Source organism: Homo sapiens, chromosome 1, assembly GCF_000001405.40.
Source record: "Homo sapiens chromosome 1, GRCh38.p14 Primary Assembly".
NCBI classification, from domain to species: domain Eukaryota; kingdom Metazoa; phylum Chordata; class Mammalia; order Primates; family Hominidae; genus Homo; species Homo sapiens.
In genome coordinates this window covers 221,713,214-221,735,059 of record NC_000001.11, presented here as the reverse complement: position 1 = coordinate 221,735,059, position 21,846 = coordinate 221,713,214, and the positions used below count along the sequence as shown (strand labels likewise).

General features: G+C 40.7%; 1 protein-coding gene across 4 annotated transcripts in view, besides 5 other annotated features; it reads left to right on the top strand.

Annotated features, from left to right (window-relative positions):
- Positions 1-21,846, top strand: part of DUSP10 (dual specificity phosphatase 10) — a 40,666-nt gene that overhangs the window by 7,030 nt on the left and 11,790 nt on the right. Inside the window, exon 1 of one of the 4 annotated variants that reach the window (XM_047442948.1) lies at positions 20,625-20,883. The exons of the other annotated variants lie outside the window; for them this stretch is intronic. Within the exon in view, the coding sequence (XP_047298904.1) occupies positions 20,856-20,883 (28 nt within the window). The 5' untranslated portion in view covers positions 20,625-20,855. Of the gene's footprint in view, positions 1-20,624; positions 20,884-21,846 lie in introns of those variants that run through there. 4 annotated transcript variants of the gene reach the window in all.
- Positions 8,467-8,536: an enhancer, noted in NCBI's record as "active region_2561". NCBI's record gives its function as "activates an Ori minimal core promoter by ATAC-STARR-seq in GM12878 lymphoblastoid cells {active_cell/tissue: GM12878}" and the evidence as "EXISTENCE:reporter gene assay evidence [ECO:0000049][PMID:35858748]".
- Positions 19,042-19,571: an enhancer, noted in NCBI's record as "OCT4-NANOG-H3K27ac hESC enhancer chr1:221888831-221889360 (GRCh37/hg19 assembly coordinates)". NCBI's record gives its function as "activates a minimal SCP1, AML or CMV promoter by ChIP-STARR-seq in naive H9 embryonic stem cells {active_cell/tissue: H9 hESC(naive)}" and the evidence as "EXISTENCE:reporter gene assay evidence [ECO:0000049][PMID:30033119]".
- Positions 19,325-19,469: an enhancer, noted in NCBI's record as "145 bp enhancer 201 fragment used in the MPRA reporter construct; PK_construct_1021". NCBI's record gives its function as "activates an SV40 promoter by MPRA in HepG2 cells {active_cell/tissue: HepG2}" and the evidence as "EXISTENCE:reporter gene assay evidence [ECO:0000049][PMID:23512712]".
- Positions 19,391-19,402: a transcriptional cis regulatory region, noted in NCBI's record as "FOXA motif; enhancer activity is reduced when this motif is scrambled". NCBI's record gives its function as "necessary for full MPRA enhancer 201 activity {active_cell/tissue: HepG2}" and the evidence as "EXISTENCE:site-directed mutagenesis evidence [ECO:0005528][PMID:23512712]".
- Positions 20,133-21,332: an enhancer, noted in NCBI's record as "CDK7 strongly-dependent group 2 enhancer chr1:221887070-221888269 (GRCh37/hg19 assembly coordinates)". NCBI's record gives its function as "activates an origin of replication core promoter dependent on BRD2, BRD4, P300/CBP, MED14 and CDK7 cofactors, with strong dependence on CDK7, by STARR-seq in HCT116 cells {active_cell/tissue: HCT116}" and the evidence as "EXISTENCE:reporter gene assay evidence [ECO:0000049][PMID:35650434]".

The following is a 21,846-nucleotide window of genomic DNA, read 5'->3' as shown; positions in this document are numbered from 1 at the left end:
ATACATTGCACACTTTTCCCTAGTTGAAAAGAATTCTGAAATATACTCTTATTGGCAATAGAGTTCTATGACAAAGTGGATGGCTAGGCTCAGAAATCAGAGACCTGTGAAAAATATTCTGTTTCTGCCCTTTTTTCGGGGGTGGGGTGGGGAAGGGAATAAAAGTCTCCCCTTTTCTCTCAGAGATGTTATGAGGATTTTAAAAAATACCTGAAATAAAGACATATCTACATTCATAAACGTGCTGTTGTTATTCTGAGCCTCTGGTTAACATCCAAGGCTAAAATGTCAAACATTAGCCTTGTAGCAAATGATGGAGAAATCAAGGCAGAACTTCGGATCTAGTCAGCCTGAATGCTAGCCTTGGCTCCCCTCTAACTAGGTATGTGCCCTTGGGGAAGGAACTGAATCCTTCAGTTCCTTAGTTACCTCATTAACAAAAAGAGGATATAACAATAGCTATCTCAAAGTGTTAGTTTCTGAAATAAATGAATTAATGTGTGTAAAGTGTTCAGAACTTTATACACATACATGGTAAGCACTCCATAAATATGGTAGAATGTTTTTATTGATATTGATTGAAAGGAAATGATAGTGCCAGTACAAAGGCAAATTTTGTTCCTAAGGAGTACAAATAACAAGCTAGGTATAGTAGAGTGTGTGTGTTGCTATGGCCTAAAAATAACTTGGTGACTGTTAACTAATTTAAGTTGCATAGAGTTGGAGTGCCAAGTAATTGCAAAAACATATTGGGCCAGGAGGCTGGAGTAATTTGGGTATATCCAGAATTATTTGTTTTAGGGAAATTTGTAAAAACATGATAATAATTCTGTCCAAATAATGTCCCATAACAAAAGCATAAAACTTTTTAGCTTTGCTTTTTGTTGCCTCTCATCATCTCATCAGGAGGATTTATTTTTGGAATAAGGATTGTGGACTGACTATAAAAGGGTAGATGGAAGGAGGGGTGCGCTGGTTCCTGAGCCTAGGGTTGTGTTGAGTTAGAATGTGAAGGAAAAAGGAGGGAAGGAGTTGAATGGCCTGCTCCTGTCTTTCAGGAAGTCCTGAAACTTCTTTCTGAACTGCTGCACAGTTAGTTGGCTGTCCTCTCTCTGAGCTTTTGGGTACACTCTCCTGCTTCCTAATTTAAGTGTAGGTGAACAGATAATAGAAATGAACTCTCTCTCCCAGCCATGTTCTTGCTTTATCTGTTCCTCATTCACGATGTGCTCAGCAGAGTGAAATTTTGCTCACTTACACCTGGGTTCAAATCTAGGCATTTCCATTGACCAACTGTATGCCTTTAGGCAAATCAGGGGGCCTCTCAGAGGCCAGGTTTTCTTCATTGTAAAACAGGGACAGCTCCAGCATCCTAGGTTGAAACAAGGTGATACAAAGTACCTGGCATTTGATGGCTGTCAATAAATCAAGCCTCTGGACCCTGCTCTCCTACTCTCATGCACTAATGTAAGAACCTCTTACATTGCAGGGGCAGGGGTATTGGGGAGGATGGGCAAGTCGTTCTAAGCACAGTACTGTGGGAGCCTGTTAAGTATGAATACTCTTGCCCTTACCAATTCAGAACAGTTAATTAACTTAATCATCCAGCTTGTCATGGACAAGTTCAAGAAACTCCTCTCCTGGCAATAGGAGACATGATTTCACATTAGAAAAGCAAAGCAGGGGAAGGAAACTGAATAGGTAAAGCACTTTGCCTATTTCTGTTTTCAAAGCACGTGTGTATAGGAGAAAGGAGAAGGGAGAATGGTGAATATGTACACTTTTCTACTTGGTCCTTTAGGCAAACCCATCTGAAGGTCTGACAAAATTACAGGAGCAGAAAAACTTTCCGTCACATACTCCTGGTGCATACACCCTCAGGGACTAAGTGGGAGCTTTTGACCAGTAGCAAAAATCTAGTTCCTTAAACCCTGCATTATCAGAAGCCAGAACCTCCAAGCCCCAGCATTGCTGAAGAGCAGTTTGGGCATGAATGTGTGATATATCGGAGTGCTTAGGCAGTTTAATCCAAGTTGGTTGAAAAAGATAGACTACATATTAAGGAGAGAAATTCTAGTTCCAGGAGAGGTCATCTCACCTTTTTGGAACTAAAGAATCCCAGCTTTGAGAAGAGCAAGGAACTTTAGAGGGCCCCTAATCCAGTAGTTTTCACTGCAGGCTGTTCATTGGTATCACCTGAAGGTGATTTATAACCTATGATGCCCAGTTCGTGTGTCCAGAAAGCCTGATTAAATTGGTCTGGGGTGCAGCCTGCACATCAAGATTTTTTTAAAGCTCCCAAAGTGATTCTAACAGGCAGCAAAGTTTGAGAACCATTGATCTAGTCCGGTATTCTCATTATGCCACTACAGGAATGGGGCTTGTCCAAGGTCACATGCATGATTAATTTTAGAGATTTAGTCCTTAATGTTAAAGTAGGTCTTGCCAGGTTCAACAGATTCAATAGATATCAACAGACTGAGGTATTCGTATGTATCATTATTTAATAACAACAGAATCTAATATATAGCATAAAATATAAGATTTTTTGAGTACTGATGCCTTTTTTCTTGAATTTTGAGATTTCAGTTCAGAACTAAAAAGACCAAAGTCTGAGGACTTTCAAAACCAGCAGTTCATGGTCTATATATTTACCTGGATATTAGAATATGGACCAAATATTAATGTTGATTTAATCTCTTCATCTGGGGAACCTAGTGGTTTAAGCTGTTAACCTAGTGGTTTCAGCTGTTAACAGCTATCAAAACAGGTATCAAAGAAGCCCAACCATCTTAGGCTTCTAGGGACTTTTTGGTAGGTGGTCTCCACAGCTGTACAAACTTGTGGGCAGAGGAGATTCATTTGTTTGTTCAATAAATATTGTTGAATGCCTTTGGTGTGCTAGGCACTAATCTGCAGGCTGGGCAATCTGCATCACAATGCTTATCATTCAAATGCAAGAAAGACAACATATATGGATGGGACCAGTCTTCCAGATCCTTTCCATCTTGGAAATTGTGTTCATGTTTCTATTCTTCATCTTCTTCTGCCACACAATCTTATTTAGGGAGTGTTTCATCTTCACGAAATTTTGTTCTCCTGTGAAGCACATGTTTGTACTTTTTTTTTCTTTTTCTTTTTTAAGAAATAGCCAGCCGGGTGTGGTGGCTCATGCCTGTAATCCCAGCACTTTGGGAGGCCGAGGCAGATGGATCATGAGGTCAAGAGATTGAGACCATCCTGGCCAACATGGTGAAACCCCGTCTCTACTAAAAATACAAAAATTAGCTGGGCATGGTGGTGCACACCTGTAGTCCCAGCTACTCGGGAGGCTGAGGCAGGAGAATTGCTTGAACCCGGGAGGTGGAGGTTGGAGTGAGCCGAGATCCCGCCACTGCACTCCAGCCTGGCGACAGTGAGACTCTGTCGCAAAAAAAGAAAAAAAAAAAAAAAAAAAAAGAAATAGCCTAGCCTTTTCTAAATATGTCATGGGCCAATAGGATTTCTTTCCAATGTCTTGATCTGAAAAGAAATGATTCATTGGTTTTTAATGAAAAAATAAATATATATGCCCTCTGTGCCTCAAAAGCTCAGGGCTGACAAGTCTCCTCTGTGTGGGAGAGTGAAACTTTGTAATTTGGACCCCCTAATTTTGTACATGTTGATGATAGGAATAAGGGCTTCGTTTATTTTCACTGCATGCTCTCTATGGAAAGAGGATGTGCTAAGCAAACAAGCATTGTAAACAATATTTCAGAGGCAAGGTTTTGGCCTGCTTTAAAAAAATAAAATGTTTGCAAGTACAATTAAAAACCAGTATAAGGGACAGGGGTGGGATGAAAACCTGTCTCTAAGATTACGAAGCCTGCGTTATTTCCCCTAAATCCCCTTCGAGGAAGATTTGAATCCCTCATCAACAAATTTTCATTGATTATGTTTCTATTATATATACTGTAGACTCTATATTCACGAATGTAATCATACTCATTCAGAAAAATATAGGAAGAGAAAATGAGTATGACCTGTAGCCTGAATTTCATTATAAAAGATTTAAAAATATACATTTTATATTAAAATTGATGTAATCTTTTAATTATGAAGTCTTTGATTCTTTAGATGTTTTCATCCATAACCCAAGAGCAAGATCTTGGCATCAGTTTTTTCCAGGTTATGTCTATATCATCTATTATTACTTAAAAGTTGGAGTTACATATAGATATATAGATATATAGAGAGTTATAGATATATGTAATTTTTTTTCATTCCAGTCCCCCACCCGAGCAAGACCCATATTTTATGTAACTTAAAAGTAAAGAAAAGAAACTTTGAGCGTATGTTTTTGGATAAGGAAATGAGCTGTGCAGGCCTAGTACTTTCATATAAGATAAAGGCTCTTACCTATTCTCTGAATCTGGCAAAGTAGAGAATCACTTACAGAAAGAAAAGGATTTGTGGATGCATCAAATTATCTGCATTGCCCTTAATGTTTTATGTGTGGTAAAGGCCTACTCAGGCCACCGCCCCCAACCCTGGCCCCCGACTTGAATTTCATAGAACACAAAACAAAGCGCAACTCTTCCTGAGTGCTTCCACAACGGGATTTTGCTTTCTTGCCTTACCACTTCAGAATGGACCACCATCAGGCATCTGTTGTCCATTGCACACATCAAGTAAACAGATTAAACTGCCCGAGCCAGGGGGTCGCATCAGGCCTGTCCTCCCTTTGAGGAGCTTAAACCTCTCGTGTTATAATGCGAACTCGACTGATCTTATTTTGTGTCCTGAGGTAAGGAGGCAGTCACCGTTTTGCATCAGAACATCACTATCCGGTTCCTTAATATCTTATATTTATTTTATGGAAGAAATAATCTCACATTCTTTGTATCACAGCCCTGAGCTTCACTACCATTGAGCTAAATATTACCAGCTGTTGCTACTGGCAAGAGAGAAGCAAAAAACAAATTGAAAGGAGAAAGAGGAGGGGTGGGGGAGTGGACAGAAAAGAATAACATGAGGGTTGAGGGTCTTAGGGTGACAGCAACATATCTTCTAGCTCCCAGACCTGAGTTCTGGGCTCCAGTATTGAAGACTGTGAGTCATTTTCTTCAATCATTACAGTGTTTCTTCCTGTCTTAAAAGAATAAGACTAGACACAAACTTCTAAGAGGGCCTTCCCTGAAGAGATAGAGGACATTTTCTATTGTTTCTTTTAATTTCTATTTTTATTAAAATGCTATGTTTTTATGATAAGACTTTAAAGGAACGGGTCTTATGGTTCTCATGAGGTGATATTTTAATCTGCCAGCAGAACATCAGTTAATCACATAGAACTACTCTGGCTCTGTGACCAACCTATCATCCCTGAAATTAGAAAATTATTTTCCAGATAGTTTGGAAGAAAAACAAGTTAAAAGCTATTGAATGCTTTCTAGATGCTGGGCATTGGGCTGTCATATATGTGTCTTATTTAGTTCTCAGAGAAGCTCTGTGAACGTCATTTTATATCCTGACTTTTATAGCTCAGGAATCTGAGGAACAGATTAAATATTTTCTCCCTTGTTATTAACTAGTAAATGAGAGAATAAGGATTGAAATCCAGTTCTTATGATTTCAAAGCCCAAATTCTTTTCAGGCTGGCCATATCTATTTGCAAGTCTCATTCCTTATGGTGGCTTTAGTTGTGCTTTACCTCTGTGGTGCCTTAGTTATAATGCCATCTTCCTTTCCCCATTTTTCTTGTATATCCTCAAATAAAAATTCCATTGCTAAGGTGAGTAGCCTATTCTGTGTCCTTAGAGTAGACTGGCTTCCCAGTAACCTTGCCTCAAATTATATCCCAGCTTTTGGATACTTTAAATTTTGGTCATGACAGTTTTTTAAGGAATAAAAATTTGAGCAAAACAAACTTTTGAAAACTGTGATAATTCTAACATATATGAAGTATTTCTTACATGCCAGACTCTATGCCACAAGTGTTATGTCTCATGATCCCTTTCCAATTTACATACGAGGGACTGAAACTCGGAGAGGTTCAGGCACTTGTCCAGTGTTACTCAGCTGGTGCCTAGTGGATCCTGGGTGTAGCTCTGGTATACTTCTGCTCAGTTTGCTTTTGATATCTGGAACCTTAGAATTCATTCTCCTAGTAGCCTGTGGATAGAAGGATGATATTTCCTGCTTTTGCACACATTAATAAACCCACTTTCTGGAGTAGGAAGTAGATGAACAAAGGTAAAGAAAAGTACAAGTACAAAGTTAGGTAAAAAGAACAAGAAAGAATCTGTGACGAGTATGATGACTACATCCTAAAGACTCTAATGCCAAAGGTATTTGATTGTTTATGCTTTATATTCATTATCTGTCCTATTAGTGTGGATGATAATGAAAACTATAGATTGTTTTCCCTCAAGTAGGTGAAGAAAGAATCTCTAGTAGGTTATGATTGCCCTTTGGGAAGGTTAGTTATCAGGGATAAGTGAACAGATCCTATCAAACCATTTACTGTTTAGTTTCTCTCCTCTCCTTTCCTAATCTTTCTTATCTCTGTTCTTCCCTTCTACAGTCTAAGCCTACAAATATAGCTCAGGTAATCTGGAGGTGTGGCAAGGACAGACCCTGGGAAAAATAATAATGAACACATTTGAAGGACAGCAGGATGGACTCCTTGGAATCCTGTGTTAGGGGCAGCATTCATAGAGGCAGAATCTGTCTTCTGACAGAGCACCCAGCTTCACACAGTGAAAGTATGTGACTGTCCTCTCAGATATCAACTATAAGATTTCGTCACAAAGTTCATTTTATGCTGCTAAAACAGAATACCTGAGATTGAGTAATTTACAAAGAACCATAGGTTATTTGGCTTATGGTTCTGGAAGCTGTGAAGTGCAAGAGCAGGGTGCCAACATCTGGCAAGGTCAGCCCATGGTGGAGGGTATCACATGATGAGCAAGTGTGTAAGACAGTGAGAAAATGGAGGCTAAGAGTTCATCCTTTTTATTAGGACCCACCCCTGTGATGATCCACTCCATGGAATGGCCATGCAATTATGGTCTTAATCCACTCTTGAGAGTGGAGCCCTCATGACCTAATCTCCTCTTAAAGGCCCCATCTTTTAATACTGCTACAGTGACAATTAAGTTTCCAATACATGAACTTTGGGGGACATATTCAAACCATAGCAGTAAGGTCACCCCAAACACTCAGGTCCTCCAGTGAGAGGGGAAGGGAGGGGGACATGGGTGATCAAGGCAGTAGAATTAGTGAATGGAGAACAAAATTTAAAAATCTGAGCATTTTTTATTCTGAAATATAAAAGTAATCAATTTTAAGAAAGCTTAAAATAAATTCAAGGAGATTAACTTCACTGATCATAAGTTCTCACATTTACATGGCAAGGTAAGTTTTCTGAACCACAACAACCCCAGGATGACTTTAGAAATGTTGAAAAACCACAGAATTATAGTCCATTGCACAGCAAGCATTCACTTACTCTATGTTGAATTAGAAAGGAAAGACATTTTTCAAAGAACATGGTGTTACAGAATTGTGAGAGATGTTATCAAGCATTTGATCTAACCATCCCATTTTACAGACATAGAAACTGATTACTTATCCAGGAGGATATAAATAGCTATTAGCAGTACTGGCATAGGATTCATGTTTCCTAACTCTCAGTTTAGGGTGTTTAGAAGCCCAACCAGTATATAATCCTTTGGATTAGTATCTGAGTTGTTGTTAAATAAGCAAATCTTGTGGGTTCAAGTATTCAGCCAGGTCATTCCATAATTTTTCTCATTACCTTTCTTAGGAGCGTATATAGTGACTAATTGAATGAGCCGGCTGATGCTCCCTTATATTTGTATTCAGTTTATATATTTTCTTGCGAAGGGAGTATAGTTTGGAGGTTAAGGGCACAGATTCTGGAACCAGGCTGCTGAGTTTGAATTCTGATTTTGCCAATTATTATAATTTTGGACAAATTCACTTTTCTGTGCCTCTGTTTGCTTGTCTATAAAATGGGGAGGGTAATGGCTCTTTTCTCATGGGCTCAATTGAGAATTAGATAACATATGTAGAAGTGCTTTGAACAATAACGAATGCATACTAGCTAACATTTATTGAAAATCAACCATAATTATAATATTGAATCTCTACAATAATAATTCATAATCTGCTTATATTCAACTGATATATGAGTGGTATAGTTCAGTAAAATGCTTTGATGTCACCACTAATGCAGTACAAGTAGGAGATACTTTTCTGATGCTTGGTAGATCTTTTTGTTTAAAAGTTTGGAAAAACCCAGTGTTTCTTTTGGGGTGGATAGATAACTACATAGGGTTTTTTTTTTTTTTTTTCCTGAAATAGTGCTGTGCTGAAAAATTATATGCTATTTCTATGTAAGGAAATCTTATAAAAGTCTTAGCAGAAACACTTTATGTATACTTATTGTTAAGATATTAAGAACATTTTAGAAAGAAAAACATAATATTACTAATCCCGCCCTGACTGGCCTAGTTTCATTTTTACATTTCTTTTTGTTCTCTACCCATATATGTGCATGTTTTTCAGGGTTTCTCACATAGTAACTGAAATTCATTTTCACTTTATATTGCATGTACTTTTGCTTCCTGTGTTGTGATCATAGATTTTCTTCTTTAATGCTGTAACCTGTCTTATTACCACATTTTACTTACTTGCCTATTAATATAAATTAAGATTGTTTCCAAGGTTTTGGTATGACAAGAGAAACCTCTTGAAGGAAACCCTTGTTTGGAATTTTCTCCACCTTCCCACCCAACTGCACTCCCCATTTAGAGAAATGGGTACTAGCTGCCATTTTGGGTGCTAGTTGCCAGTTTGAGTTTATTTTTCCCCCCAATTCTCTTTCACTTTTTAACTTCTGCTTTTCTTTCCTGAGTGTAAGATCCAAATACCTATCAAAGTTGTGAGTTTTTAGGGACATCTTTATCCTTGACCACAGGTCTTGATACTGATCCTGAATGTGTGTGTTTACCACATGTCCTGTAAGGCACATATTGCAGATCTTGGACCTCTTTGGTGGATAGAGTGAGGACATGAGGAAGCACCACTCAGCGCTATTAAAAATCAGAAGCTATTGTGGAAGTGAATGATCTGGCAAGGCTAACAACGGCTCCTTATTTCATAAATATGAGTCACTCCCAGTTTTACACTGTAGATAAAACACTCTGAAAGGGACAATAAAAGCAGCAAGAGGTAGATTTAGTGAGATGCTGAGTAGATGTGTTTGTGTCTCCCTTCCTCTCAACTTTTCTAAATCCTGAGGTTTTAGTGCAGTGCTGAAGTCTTCTAGGGGCTTAAGCAAACACAGGCAGCAAAAACACATCAGAATGGAAAGATAATTCCCATTAGTTCATTTTGCCAAATTGAGGTAAAGTGCCCTTTAAATAGGAGATAATTCTTTGACAGATAATTAGCTTGTCTTCCTTGATAAAATATGTGAATTGGTTGAGTATATTATAATTAATTTTGCATATTATGTAAAAATCTATTCATGTACACTTACTAGGTGAATCTCTTAATTCCTACCTTGAGGATGGCTAGAAAGCCCCATTTCTGCTCCAGTGAATAGAAAGAGCTGGAGGAATGCTGTGGTTATGGAGTCCAGGAAGCCCTCTCTTACAAAGATTGGGAGGAGCTGAATGTGGTATATCATTATTAAAAGACACAGAGACTTCATATTAATACATGCATTTATTAAAACAAACTTTGAGAACACTTTTAGGCCTGAGAATGAGATGCTACAAAGTTGCCTAAATAATTACCTTGAAATCAATCTCTTGCTAGTGACATTCTTCTGGCTTCCCAATGTGGAGCTTTTTCCAGGGAGTGGAGTGAGTGATTGGCTGGGTGCAGCTAGCTGTTGGCTGGGCGGTGGCTGTGGGAAGTAGCCTGAGAGGGCACAGAACAGTTGCTCAATGACTCAGTGAGTCAAAGCTCCTCTCTGCAGTTTTTCTTCCCCCTACTCCTTAAGCCATTCTGAGCTCCTTCAGGCATCCCCATGTATCTGCGCACTGCTTTTGGGGTGTCTTTTCTCATTCAAAGCTATTGTCGTGGCTACTTGATTTGGCTCATATTAAAACGTGCACTGGGAGATGTTGGAGTGCTGAAATAAAAGAGCATGCTGTAGTTAATCGATCAGAGAGCCTCTCTTCTCCAAGTTGAAGTGTTTCTTTTCCTGAAAATAGAGTGGCTATTTGATGTTCCATGGGAGCCGAATGACTTCCTGGTGTAGTGTGGCTTATAGCACCGTAGATTTTAGTCATTGGTCACTACCCCTCCATGTGCATGCACACACATTCACATGCAAACAAACACATATTTTAGTTAACATTTGTAGAATGGGAACAATTATGACACTGAGCATTAACTCATTTAATGGGGATAGCAATAGTATTAAATCTATCTGCAGCGTCCAATATAGTAGCCTTGCTGCAAGCCAAACGTGGCCATTGAGCACTTGAAATGGGGCCAGTCCAAACAGAGATGTGCTGTAGGTGTAAAATATATACCAGATTTCAAGACTTTATATAGAAAATAATGTAAAATATTTCATTAGTAATTGTTTTAATATTGACTCTTGAAATGATATTTGCACATGTTAAGAAAAATATATTAGCAATATTTTACCTGTTTGTTTTTACTTTCTTGAATGCAGCTACTAGAAAAAAAAAATGCTTGTTATTATAGTAGCCTGAATTCCATGTCTATCAAATGTTGCCGATCTCAATGTGGTAATAACAGTATTATTATCCCCACTTTTTAGATGAGGCAATTGAGGCTGAGAGAGGTTAGGTAAGTTGCCCAAGGTCTCACAGCACAATGCCAAATTCAGACCTGCCTGACTCCAGAGCCCACACCCTTCATCACTAAGAAACTGTTGTATAATAGAGAATTTGTCTGGCCGTTGTCCTCAGTTCCTGGGAAATAATTTCTAAACCCTTGGAACTCCCCGAGTGTTAGGAGTGTCTTTGTTATGCATGATGAGCCCCTTGGATCACACCTGTGTTTATGTTAATGCGATGACTCAGGATAAGAGTTTATCATCAGAAAGACATCCACATGATTAGAAGGTCAGGGCTTTGTATTAGTTCATCTTCTTCAGCAGAAGAGAGTGGGACTGAAGATTGAGTTCAATCACAAGGCCAATAATTTAATTATGCCTAAGTAATGGAACCCAATAAAAACTCTGGACACCAAAGCTCAGTTAAACTTCCTAGTGAACACATTGCTGTGTCAGCAGGGCAATGTGTCCTGATTGCACAAGGAGAGGGCCTAGAAGCTCCATATGCAGGACCCTCCCAGATATTGCCCTGTATGTGTCTTTATCTGGCTCTTCCTGATTTGTAGCTTTTATAATAAAAACTATCATCATAAAGATAGGGCTTGTGTTCTGTGAGTCATTCTAGTGAATTATCAAGCCTGAAGCATTGTAGAAGCCACAGAATTTATAACCAGTTGGCTAGAAGTGTGGGTGGCCTGGGAACCCCTGAACCTGTGGCTAGCATCTGGAAGTGAAGGCATTCTTATTTGAGACTGTGGCCTTAACTTGGGGAGTCTGCACTGACTCTGCTTAGTCAGTTTCAGAATTATATTGCAGTATTGCAAGAATAGACTGCCTTTTATTTGGATGTATGTATTAGGAGAACAGCAGCTGAGAGAGCTAAGTGCTGCAGCTTAACTTGCTTATCTCTGTAACACCATTTCCTTGGTGACAATGGCCATTTGCATTCTAGACTTGGAAAATGACTCAATCTTTGAGCAACTGCTTTTGACCACTAGGATCAGTTGGGAGGCAGGCAGGCCTCTGAGACCTTCATACTCAAAACCCTTCAGGCTGTAATCTCTGGGGCCTATTTCATCTCCCAGTTGGCATCATGTTAGCGGTGGTGACAAACATATGTGTTGGCCCCTCTTTGACACCAGGGATTCTTAAGTATTGGTTTTGGGATTGAGATGTTCATGGGAAGCTGACACAGGGTGATACTATGGGTAAGGAGTATTTCGATTTTTTGTTGTGTTTTTTAATCATTTGCCTTGTCTGGAATTACGCTTTTGTGGTATGTCCTATTACATTTCATAAACAAGGTATTTAGCTCAATTGTTGCTTTTTCTTTTGGGGCTTTTGTTTGGATTTTTAAGCCAAGATCCATGTGTTTTATTTATTTTGGTTTAGTTTCTTCATCCCTGCTTAAAATAGACACTGCCTCTTGTCTGTGGTCCTGGTATCCACTACTCTTCTGTTTCCTGCTCAGGCCTGGCCCATGTTCTGCAAGGCCCTCTTAGGTCACCAGCTCCTAGAAAGTTGACTCCTATGAGTATCTCTTGGGGCCACCTTAGAATGCAGATTTCTAAGAAAAGTCCAACATAAACTCTGCAGTTATTGGGAGAAAGTTTCCGTCACCAGTGAAAACTAGGAATAAAACAAGATTTTGGAATGTATAAAAGAAGCCTCTTTCAAAAAGAAATCAATATGACTTGTTTTTTCCTAACATGGGCCAGCCCTGGGCACTTTTCATCTGCCACCACACCAGGCCTGCTCTTCAGAGGTGTTCAGCTTTAAGACTAGGGACAGTTCACACCAGATAACTATGAGGCAGTGTTCTCTGCCACTCATTGACTGTGGAAGTCTCAGTCCCAGTTTCTGAGAGGGGGAGAGCAAATTCATCAGAACCAACTGAAGAGGTACAGAACATGAGGCATTCACTTCTCACACAGTCCCTGAGCATCTCACCTTCCAGAATACCAGAGGCTTCAAGGCCCTTTTTCTACCTTTCAAGAGCGTTATAGCGTGCTATTGCTCTTTGAGAGATCTAGGGCTGTAACAGCCCTTATTTTTAGAAAAGAGAGAACTCCTGTGTTTGAAGAAATAGCTCTTATGATATGATCGTGTGGTTTCACATGGTCTTAAGTTCAAGTAACTTGCCCAAAGGTGCACAGTTATTAAGAGGGATAAGAGGAACTCCAAATTACTGATTTCAGATCCAGTGTTGTATCCCTTCAAAAGGAGATAGAAGAAACAGGGCCACCCGGGGTTGGTGAAGATACTGTCAGAATCATCTGTTACTGCTTACCACATCTAAGTGAGAGGGTCAGCAAGCTCTTGAGAGGGCCCACCTAGATCTTAGCTTGTGTATACCCTATACTGAGCACTGTGCCCCCATTTCATATTTAGTGCTTAATAAATGTATATTAAACTGAATTGAGGGCCCCTCCTGCTGCTCAGTGACATCCCTCAGGGTGAGTTTCCCTCCTGAGCCTTCTTTTCCCTTTCATGACTACCTTCCATGCATCTCTACCATTCATCACTCATATAGAATGTCCAAGAAGTAGGGGCGAGGAGAGAGGAGAAAGGGGTAAGAGGCCACCAAGTGTGATTTGCCTTGGATTTCAGCCCTCCCTGGAAGGTGCCCATTTGTCACATTTAAGGGAGGCCCAGCACCCCTGTAAATTGCCTCTTCCTCATAAGTGTACTCAGCCCTCCTTCCCAGCCTTGGAATGCCAGGATTTCTAAATCCTTGTGCTGAATTCACCTGGCGAGTCCTGCACCTGACTGTGTGAGTTACAGCTGGATGGCATTGTTCAGCTCAATCTTCAGTGTGTTCTGAAAATGTTTCTTCTTCCAGTCCTGTCACTGAATTTCCCTAAAGTTCCTTCCTCCTTTCCCTCATTAGATTTCTCTTTGGGGACTATTTTTTTCAATCAAATCTCGCAAATCCATAGCATAATGCTGAACAGCATATAATAGATGCTTTACAATAAACTGGTCCTATCTCATCTCATTCCAGTGTTCAATGAATCTAAAAATATTTAATGAGCACTTACTATATACAATTCAGATGCTAAACAGTGAATACTTAGAATTTCTATTAATAACTACAATGTAGTAGCTGATTTAATTCTTGCAATAACTATTGTTGCCTGTTAGGACTATTATTAGCTCCATTTCAGGGTACAAAGAGGTGAAACAGCTTTGTCAATATCATACTGGAAAGTTGTGGAGACAGTCTGGCCCTAGTGCACCAAACCATTACACTCTATTTCCTCTAAGAGAAAGAACATCTTGACTTTCTTGGGGTCCACACTTTAATAAGAACAATAAACAGGGAAGAAATAAATAGGTAACTTCAGATAGCGATAAGTGTTCTGAAGACAATGAAACTCTTAAAAACTTCATGATATGATAAAAGAGATTTGGAAGGGTAGCTGTAAATTGAATGTCAGGGAAGACTTTTCTGAGAACACATCTGGTCTGAGGTCTGAATCATCTATGTGAGTCTAAAGAAAAATAAATTTTTATCCTACCATACTTTCGGAACACCTCTGTGGATTTATGCCCCCTACACACAGAGCAGTCTTCCAGCAGACACTAGCAGAATGTCTTGCAACTTAATTTTGACTCTACCTGGTGTTAGCTTCAGACCCCACAAGTTGTGGCTCAGTCCTACAAGATTACCCCACCTTCCCCACACTGTTTATAAATCAGTATTTCTGCAACCCCCTCCCTGAGTCCCATTAATTTTCTAGGACAGTTCGCAGAACTCAGGGAAATGTGTTTACACATTTATTATAAAAGATATTACAAAGAATATAGATGGACAGTCAGATGAAGGAGATGGATGGGGTTTATGGGGGCTTCATTACATAGGCATGATTAATTACATCATTGGTCATTGGTGATCAACTCAACCTTCAGTCCCTGTCTCCTCCCTGGAGGTTGGGGGATGCGGCTGAATGTCCCAATCCTCTAATTAAGCTGTTTTAATTCTGGTGACCAGCTCCCTTCCTGGAGCTATTTAGGGGCCCCCAGCCACTAGTCATCTCATTGGCATTCAGAAAACACTCATAACTTCAGAGATTCCAGGGGTTTTAGAAGCTATGCTACAGGAACCAGGGGCAGAGATCAAATATATATTTTTTCATATCACAGTATCACAGTGAGGATCTACAGGAAGGGAGTTTGCGGAAGAGGGAACAGCAAATGCAAAGGCCTGGAAGTGGGAAGCAGAGCACCCAGGCTTTACACAACCTCTGACAGCTGATTTTGTTCTTGCCATTGTTCATTCATGTCATATCGTACCATATCATATCATATATATGGTTTATCAAGGCTATATTGAAGTTATAGAACACCAGAGTTGGGAGAAACTTAAAGATTACCCTAAGTCCTGATTGTATAGGGGTGGCAAAAGAGGTCACAGAGCTAGAACCCAGTATCTTTTTAGTGTGGAAGGAAGGGCTGCCCTCTGAGTCCTTGCTGTCAGGGCTTTTGTTACCCTGTGCAAAGTTAGACATGGCTTCAGGGGAAATGGTCGAAAGTCTGATGGTGCCAGATACGGGATGCATCCCAGGTCAGCGCTTCATTCTGCGTGCCCCAGGTTGAACTGACCATTACTTGGCTGGTCCTTCACTTAGCCTCAAGTCCATGTTGACAATATGTAATTCCAGCCCACCTCCTCAGAGACAAGCAGTGTTTTTAATTGTTTTGTTTTCCCCCTAATCTCAGAAGGTGGTCACCCAGGCAGGGACATGCTAGCTTTTTTTTTTAACCCAGTGTAATTTTGTATGTCTCTTAGTGCATGGAGACCTCACCTTGCTTCAGGTGGACCTGTCAAAGCTCAGCCCTCATGGTACGGTGTGATCATTGGACATGGCTGAGTCCATGTTTAAGGAAAGCCCATGCCTTTTCTTTCTGCAAGTTGATCCTTTAGTACTCAGCCTTGCTCATTATATTCACCAAACATAGAATCCAGCTCAGTGACTTGAGGAAGTTGTTGCTATGCCTTTTGTGAAGTGAAAACATCGGTTCAGGAAAACAATTCAAATTTTGATGCTGACATTTGATCCTTTCCCCTACCACTTCCTGAATTCCCTAAGCCAGAGCTCTTTGACCTCCAGATCCTACTGAAATACACAGTTATACATACTGTTTGTTGGACATGGGGGTTTTATTCAAAGCAAACTCAGATGCAGCATTTTTGGCTGGGCACTTCCATACATGATTTTAGCAATGGAACCCTATCCAGGCTTCACCTGTGTAACTTTGTCTTGCTTACTGCTTTCCCCCACCCCTCCTGTCATGGATGTTTCTAGAGGACCTTTTGTGAATGTAACTTCCAATGGGAATGTTTCACAGTAGAAATATGCTCTCCTGTGAGGCTCGCATGTGACATTTCTGAAGATTTATTTAATTGGACTTTACTTAAATCCCATTGGGAAACATACTTTTGCTGTGAAGCTGTGATGTGTTTAATTTGGGGTCTAAGATAAATGTTGGTCCTCGGGGTGGATGGTTGAGCAATAGTTTTCCTTTTGTACAGTGGGTTTGTGTAATGAATAGCTTTACTGGGCTTTCCTCTGTTTGTTTGTTTAGCAATGCTTCATTATTTAAACTTCTGCACTGAAAGGCAAGAATGTTTTTAGACATTCTTTAGAGACTTAATGCAGAATATCTGGTTGAGCTCTCGGGAGAAATATGGCTTTGTGTTTTATAGCACTCTCCTCCTGTTAACATTCCTCTCTCTGCAGCTTCCCAGGATGATCTCATGGATTTTTCCCCCTCCTTTAATCCGTCTTGATGGATTAACCAGTATTAAGTTTGAGACCAGTGAGCAAAAAAGGTGGAGCCCTAACATGGTATAGAGTAGCCTCCCCAGTACGCAGAATGTCTCCAGCTAAAATATTCTTCCGCCCAGAAGGATGCCACATGGAGGTCATGTGCCAGTGCTGATCTGAAAGGGCATATATCTAATGAGGAGGGAAGTGTCTTTGGGAGAGGAGTGGGCTTCTGTGCGTGCATGTAGCTGGTTCATGGAACTAAGGTTCTACAAGGCTTACTGCGCTTGCCTTTTATAGGCATGCTGGTCCTTTCAGCACACCCCCACCCCCTGCAGCCCCCGCCCCCACCCCCACCACCCTGCCACCCCCATTCTGACCTTGGACCATTTTTGGCTTGGCTTTAAGGTATGACACCAAGTTGGGTTGGCTCTCAGGGGCTTTGTTCTCAGGAAGCCCACAAGTTTTAGTGTGGCTCTTCAAAAGTAAGTATTATACGTTGTATTTCTAAAAGTAAGCTACACTGGGAATTACAAGTGGCACTATATTCATTTGGGCTGCTTTAACCAAATGCCGTAGACTGGATAGCTTAAACAACAGAAAGTTATTTTCTTATAGTTCTGGAGGCTGTAAGTTCAAGATTGGGGTGCCAGCATGGTTGGGTTCTGGTGAAGCCTTTCTTCTTGGCTTGCAGACAGCTGTCTTCTTGCTGTGCCCTCACAAGGCAGAGAAAAAGAGACAGCAAGCTCTGTGTTGTCTCTTCTTATAAAGGTACTACTCCCATCACAGGAGCCCTACCCTCATGACCTCACGCTGGGGATTAGGGCTTCAGCATACGAATTTGTGTGTGTGTTTGAATATGGGGAGGAGAGATACAATCAGTCCACAGCAGCCACAAAAAATGCATTCAGAAAAGGAAAGGGTATGAATTTTGCCCAGGATTTGGAGTGTATGTAAATTACACCATTTGGTAAATCAGTGCGTTCTCTCTCTCTCTCTCTCTCTGTTTCTTTTCCCCTCCCCCCTCTTTTCTTTTCAAACACATATTGATCACCTGTTGTGGACTTTGGAACACTCAGGAGCTTCCCACTGAACTCAGAATAAAACCTGCCTAAGAGGCCCTGTGAGGAGGGTCCCTGCCTCCCTTCCTTCCCCTCTAGCCCTTCTCCTCACCCGCCTCTTGCCCAGTCATTGTGCCTCCCCACATTTGGCTCCCTTGAGTCACTCAGAGGTTCCCTGAGTTCCCTGCCTTTCCCAGTGTGGTGTTCCCTCCCTATGTTCTCCTGGATTCCGTCCCCTCTCATACCTCAGAGAGGCTGTCCATGAACCCCAATCTAATTAGTCCCCTCTCATAGCACCCAGGAACTGGACAGCGTCTTCCGTTATGACTTATCTTAATTTGTGACTGCCTTCTGGAATCTGTGTTTATGGTTGTCATATGTTTCCTCCTGATGGAGTGGGGAGGGGCAGGGAAGGGGCCTCTGCAGCGTGTCACTCACCTCCTCAACTCCCAGAATGTTTGGGGAGGGTTTGATCTTAAATACAAGAGATTATAACAGTGAAAAATGTGTTAATGTAACTGGCATGTCTGTTAACAAATCCCAGACTTGATCTGAGTGTTTATGGTGTGCATTTCTCCCTGGGAACCAGTTGGTCTGTGCTAACATAGGTAAAGTTTAGACACGTACCAGAAAGAAAACTGAACTTGCAAGTTTTCAGGAACATGGGGGCTGGAACTTGGCTGTCTTTCTGTCGGCCCCTGACCCCTCACCCCCAGACTGGATCTTGGTAGGCACCCTTCTTAGCCATTCACTTGATTGAAGCCCAAAATCCTTTCTTGGAAAGCAAAAATACTTACTCTTATTTTCTTTAGTTGGCATTTTTGTTAGTGAGAATGGAGTTCAATAGAAGTAGACAAAATTCTGGTGGAAAAAAAAATGAGACTACACAGGCTGGGAGGAAGGTCTGTGGATGGAGGGGACAACTGGAACCACCAGAAACATCTGTTCTGACCCTTCTATTCCAGACTAGGATTAAGGGAGAGCAGAAGGCACTTCCCTGCCCCTCTGGCAGAGGGACTGACTTGAAGTCAACTATGCCCACAACCTGTCTTCAGGTGGTTCTTACTGAAACCTTTGTGAGACAGAATGGGGAGGGTGAGTTAAAGATGGTATTCTCTGCACTAGCAGAGCCTTACTGTGTGTTTGGCTGGCAGGGATGAGTGCTCAATCACTCTTCCCAGCCCACCTTTGACTTTTTAAAAATAGGTCTAACAAATATTCTGTGGATTCGTTTGAAATTCAAGCATCAAAATGTATTCCAGGTAGAAGTCTCTCTTTCATGTTTTCTTCCCATCTACTGCTGATGGATTTATGAGAGACAGAGAAGGTGTAGGGAGAGGGAGAGAAGGGTAGAAGAGGGGAGATGGCAGGGACAGGGAGAGAAGAGGGAGAGGGGAGGGGAGGGGAGGGAGGAGGGATCAGGGTAGAGGAGCAAGAGTTGGGGAGGAGAGGTGAGGGAGAGAAGAGTGGAGAAGGGGGCAAAGGGGATAGAGATAGAGACCAAACCCAAGGCCCTGGTGGGGAAGAAACCAGAGAGAGTCATAGAGTCTCACTGACTTCTGCAAAACCTGAGGGGCTTCCTGGCTCTGGGAACTCTTGAGATCTTAACAGTTCAAATCCTGCTCACATAAAAGTCATCTGCTCATTAAAATAACACAAAGCTGTTTAATTGTTGTCTTTGTGGAAAATTACATGACTGTCATCAGCTGTTGCTTCTGGCAGTGCTTTCTGTTCTAATGTAAATAAATGAGGTAACAGATTTAAAGAAACAGGCTGTATTTACATACTTCTGAGGTATCCTCTCAAAACAATCTGCCTGTGTTATTCAAATACACACAAATTAAACTTGTGGTAGCTCAAACATTAGTTATTCATTAAAGCCTTAAAGTTGAAATGGTAGGAGGGGGGCAAGAGAACTGCACCTCCCTTCAGGGGGTAGGAACCAGAGGCTGACTTTTCTGTGTGGACTGAGCTACTCCAGCCGGCGGAAATCCAATCCCCAGCTCTTTTCTATACCAATTCTGCCCTGAGGCAACTTCTGAGCCAGGAGGGGAGGGTGGTGAGAGCAGAGGGGAATCTTTAAAGCTCTGACAAAAACTTTCCAGGGTCAGCATTTCTTGGAAGGCCTCCAATTAAACTTTATTTTCAATTTTCATAAATCACAATTCCTAAATCATTGGATGTTTCTGACTCAGTTTACTTTTTTGAGGTAAATATGTGGGCAATAATTTTTTAAAATTCTTCCTATTGAGGGCATGGCAAAGGTTTTATCAAACAAGGAAGGAAACAGTATATTCGAAAATATAAGAAAAATGACAAGAGACCCCTCCAATAAACAAGTTAATGACTGGAAAATGTAGAAGTATATGGAACAAAAAATGGAGAAGAAAGCACACTGCTAATTATACAAAGATTAGGAAGTAGCGAAAGTGACTGTTTTAGTTCTTGGTAAGTGTCATTGTCAAGTATTAGCTTCTTTCTGGAATGCTGGGTTTTTTTTAACGTTGGGGTGGGAGGGAATGGCACATCATCTGAGAGAAACAATAGTAACTATTGAAGTGGCTACCTTGTCTGGGTTAAATAACCGGGGTTCGTTGTCTCACACCAAGAAAATTTAGGACATAGACACACAAGAGGAGTTTAGAAGCAGAGGTTTAATAGGCAAAAGAAAGGGAAAGGAAAACAGCTCGCTCTTTAGTGAGAGAGAGGTGACTTCCCAGAGGAAAAAGGCCGACTGGTGGTGGATGTGCCAGATTTTATAGTCTGGCTTGAGGAGGCAGTATCTGATTTACATAGGGCTCACAGATTGGTTTGATCAGGTGTGAGGTTTACACAGCACTCAGGGGAGGCTGGTCACCCCACCCTAATCTTATTATGCAAATGAACTCTCCCCTTGCCTGGCGCCATCTTGTCTGCTCCTTACTGTACACGTGGCCGGCAGAGAAGGGAAGATGGAGCCGCCATTTTGAACATGTCTAGTCGCAGGTAATTCTTTCCTGCTGGCATCCACACGTGCGAGCTCTCAGTTTGCTTGTCTGTGTCTGCAGCTCAACTTTACAGGCTGCTCTCTGTTGAAAATGATTTGGGGCTGCTTTTCATTAAAAGGAAAACGTTACGGAGGACTTCTGTACCCTCACTATCTGCCTAAGTAATTTCTTCTTAACTCCTGTATCACTATGATACCAAAGTTACTATACGATGACAACTCAAGCAATGTCTATTTCATGTAAGCCTCAGTATTCTATATTATGTTGTTTTGTCCAGACAATCCAAAGAAAAGACTATTGTTAACTCAAAATTCAGGCAAATTCTGGTATCAACTTTTCAGAATTTTTTTTTCTCTTAAAACATTACTAAATACTACTTGGTTAGATGAACTAAATAAAAATGAACAACTTTTATTATTGGAAGATAGTTTTGGGAGGGCTATTCTGGAAATGATTTCAGCCTATCATTTATCACTAGGAAAACACCAGGAAGATCTTTTTATTTTATTAAGTTTTTGTAAATTATTTCCAAAAAGAAATTGACCACCTATCTCAATACCTCTTTCCCTGTAGCTCCTATTGGTATCTAACATATCAGCAGTCACCTGTCTTCATGTGACTTGGGGCTAATTCCTGTGTACAAAGGGATTTAAATAAGACTAGTCCTGCTCTCCAAGGACCTAAATTCTATTAAAGCTCTTAATCTGGATATACACAGAAAGGAAAATACATTTTAAAAGAATATGTATTAATAATGCAGTTATAGTTGTAGAATGAGGCTGCATGTATACATATAATAAGTTGTTGAAACTAAGTTTTTATAGAATGACTCTGAGAAAAACTGTAAACACCTCAACTTATTGAGGAAATTGAGGTATGAAAAAGTTGTGTGTGTGATAACTTTTCTGTACGTCCATTTCAAAAATTTCTAGAAGTATGCATATATTTTTAGAGAATATACCAGAAATGTATTTTTGGCTATTCGATATGCCTAAAAAATGTCTTTTTTTTCAAGGCTTCTGAAAATCGTAGACATAAAGAACTAAATATAATGAGGTTTTCAAGGGAGACCACACTAACCACCAGCCCCAACCCCCACTCTGCATGCCACTTCCTCCGGCAGTGATGGAGTGTAGACTAGGCTAACAGCACTGAGTACACTTTTAGCAGAGCAGAGCTACAGTGGGCTGTCCTCATGGCTC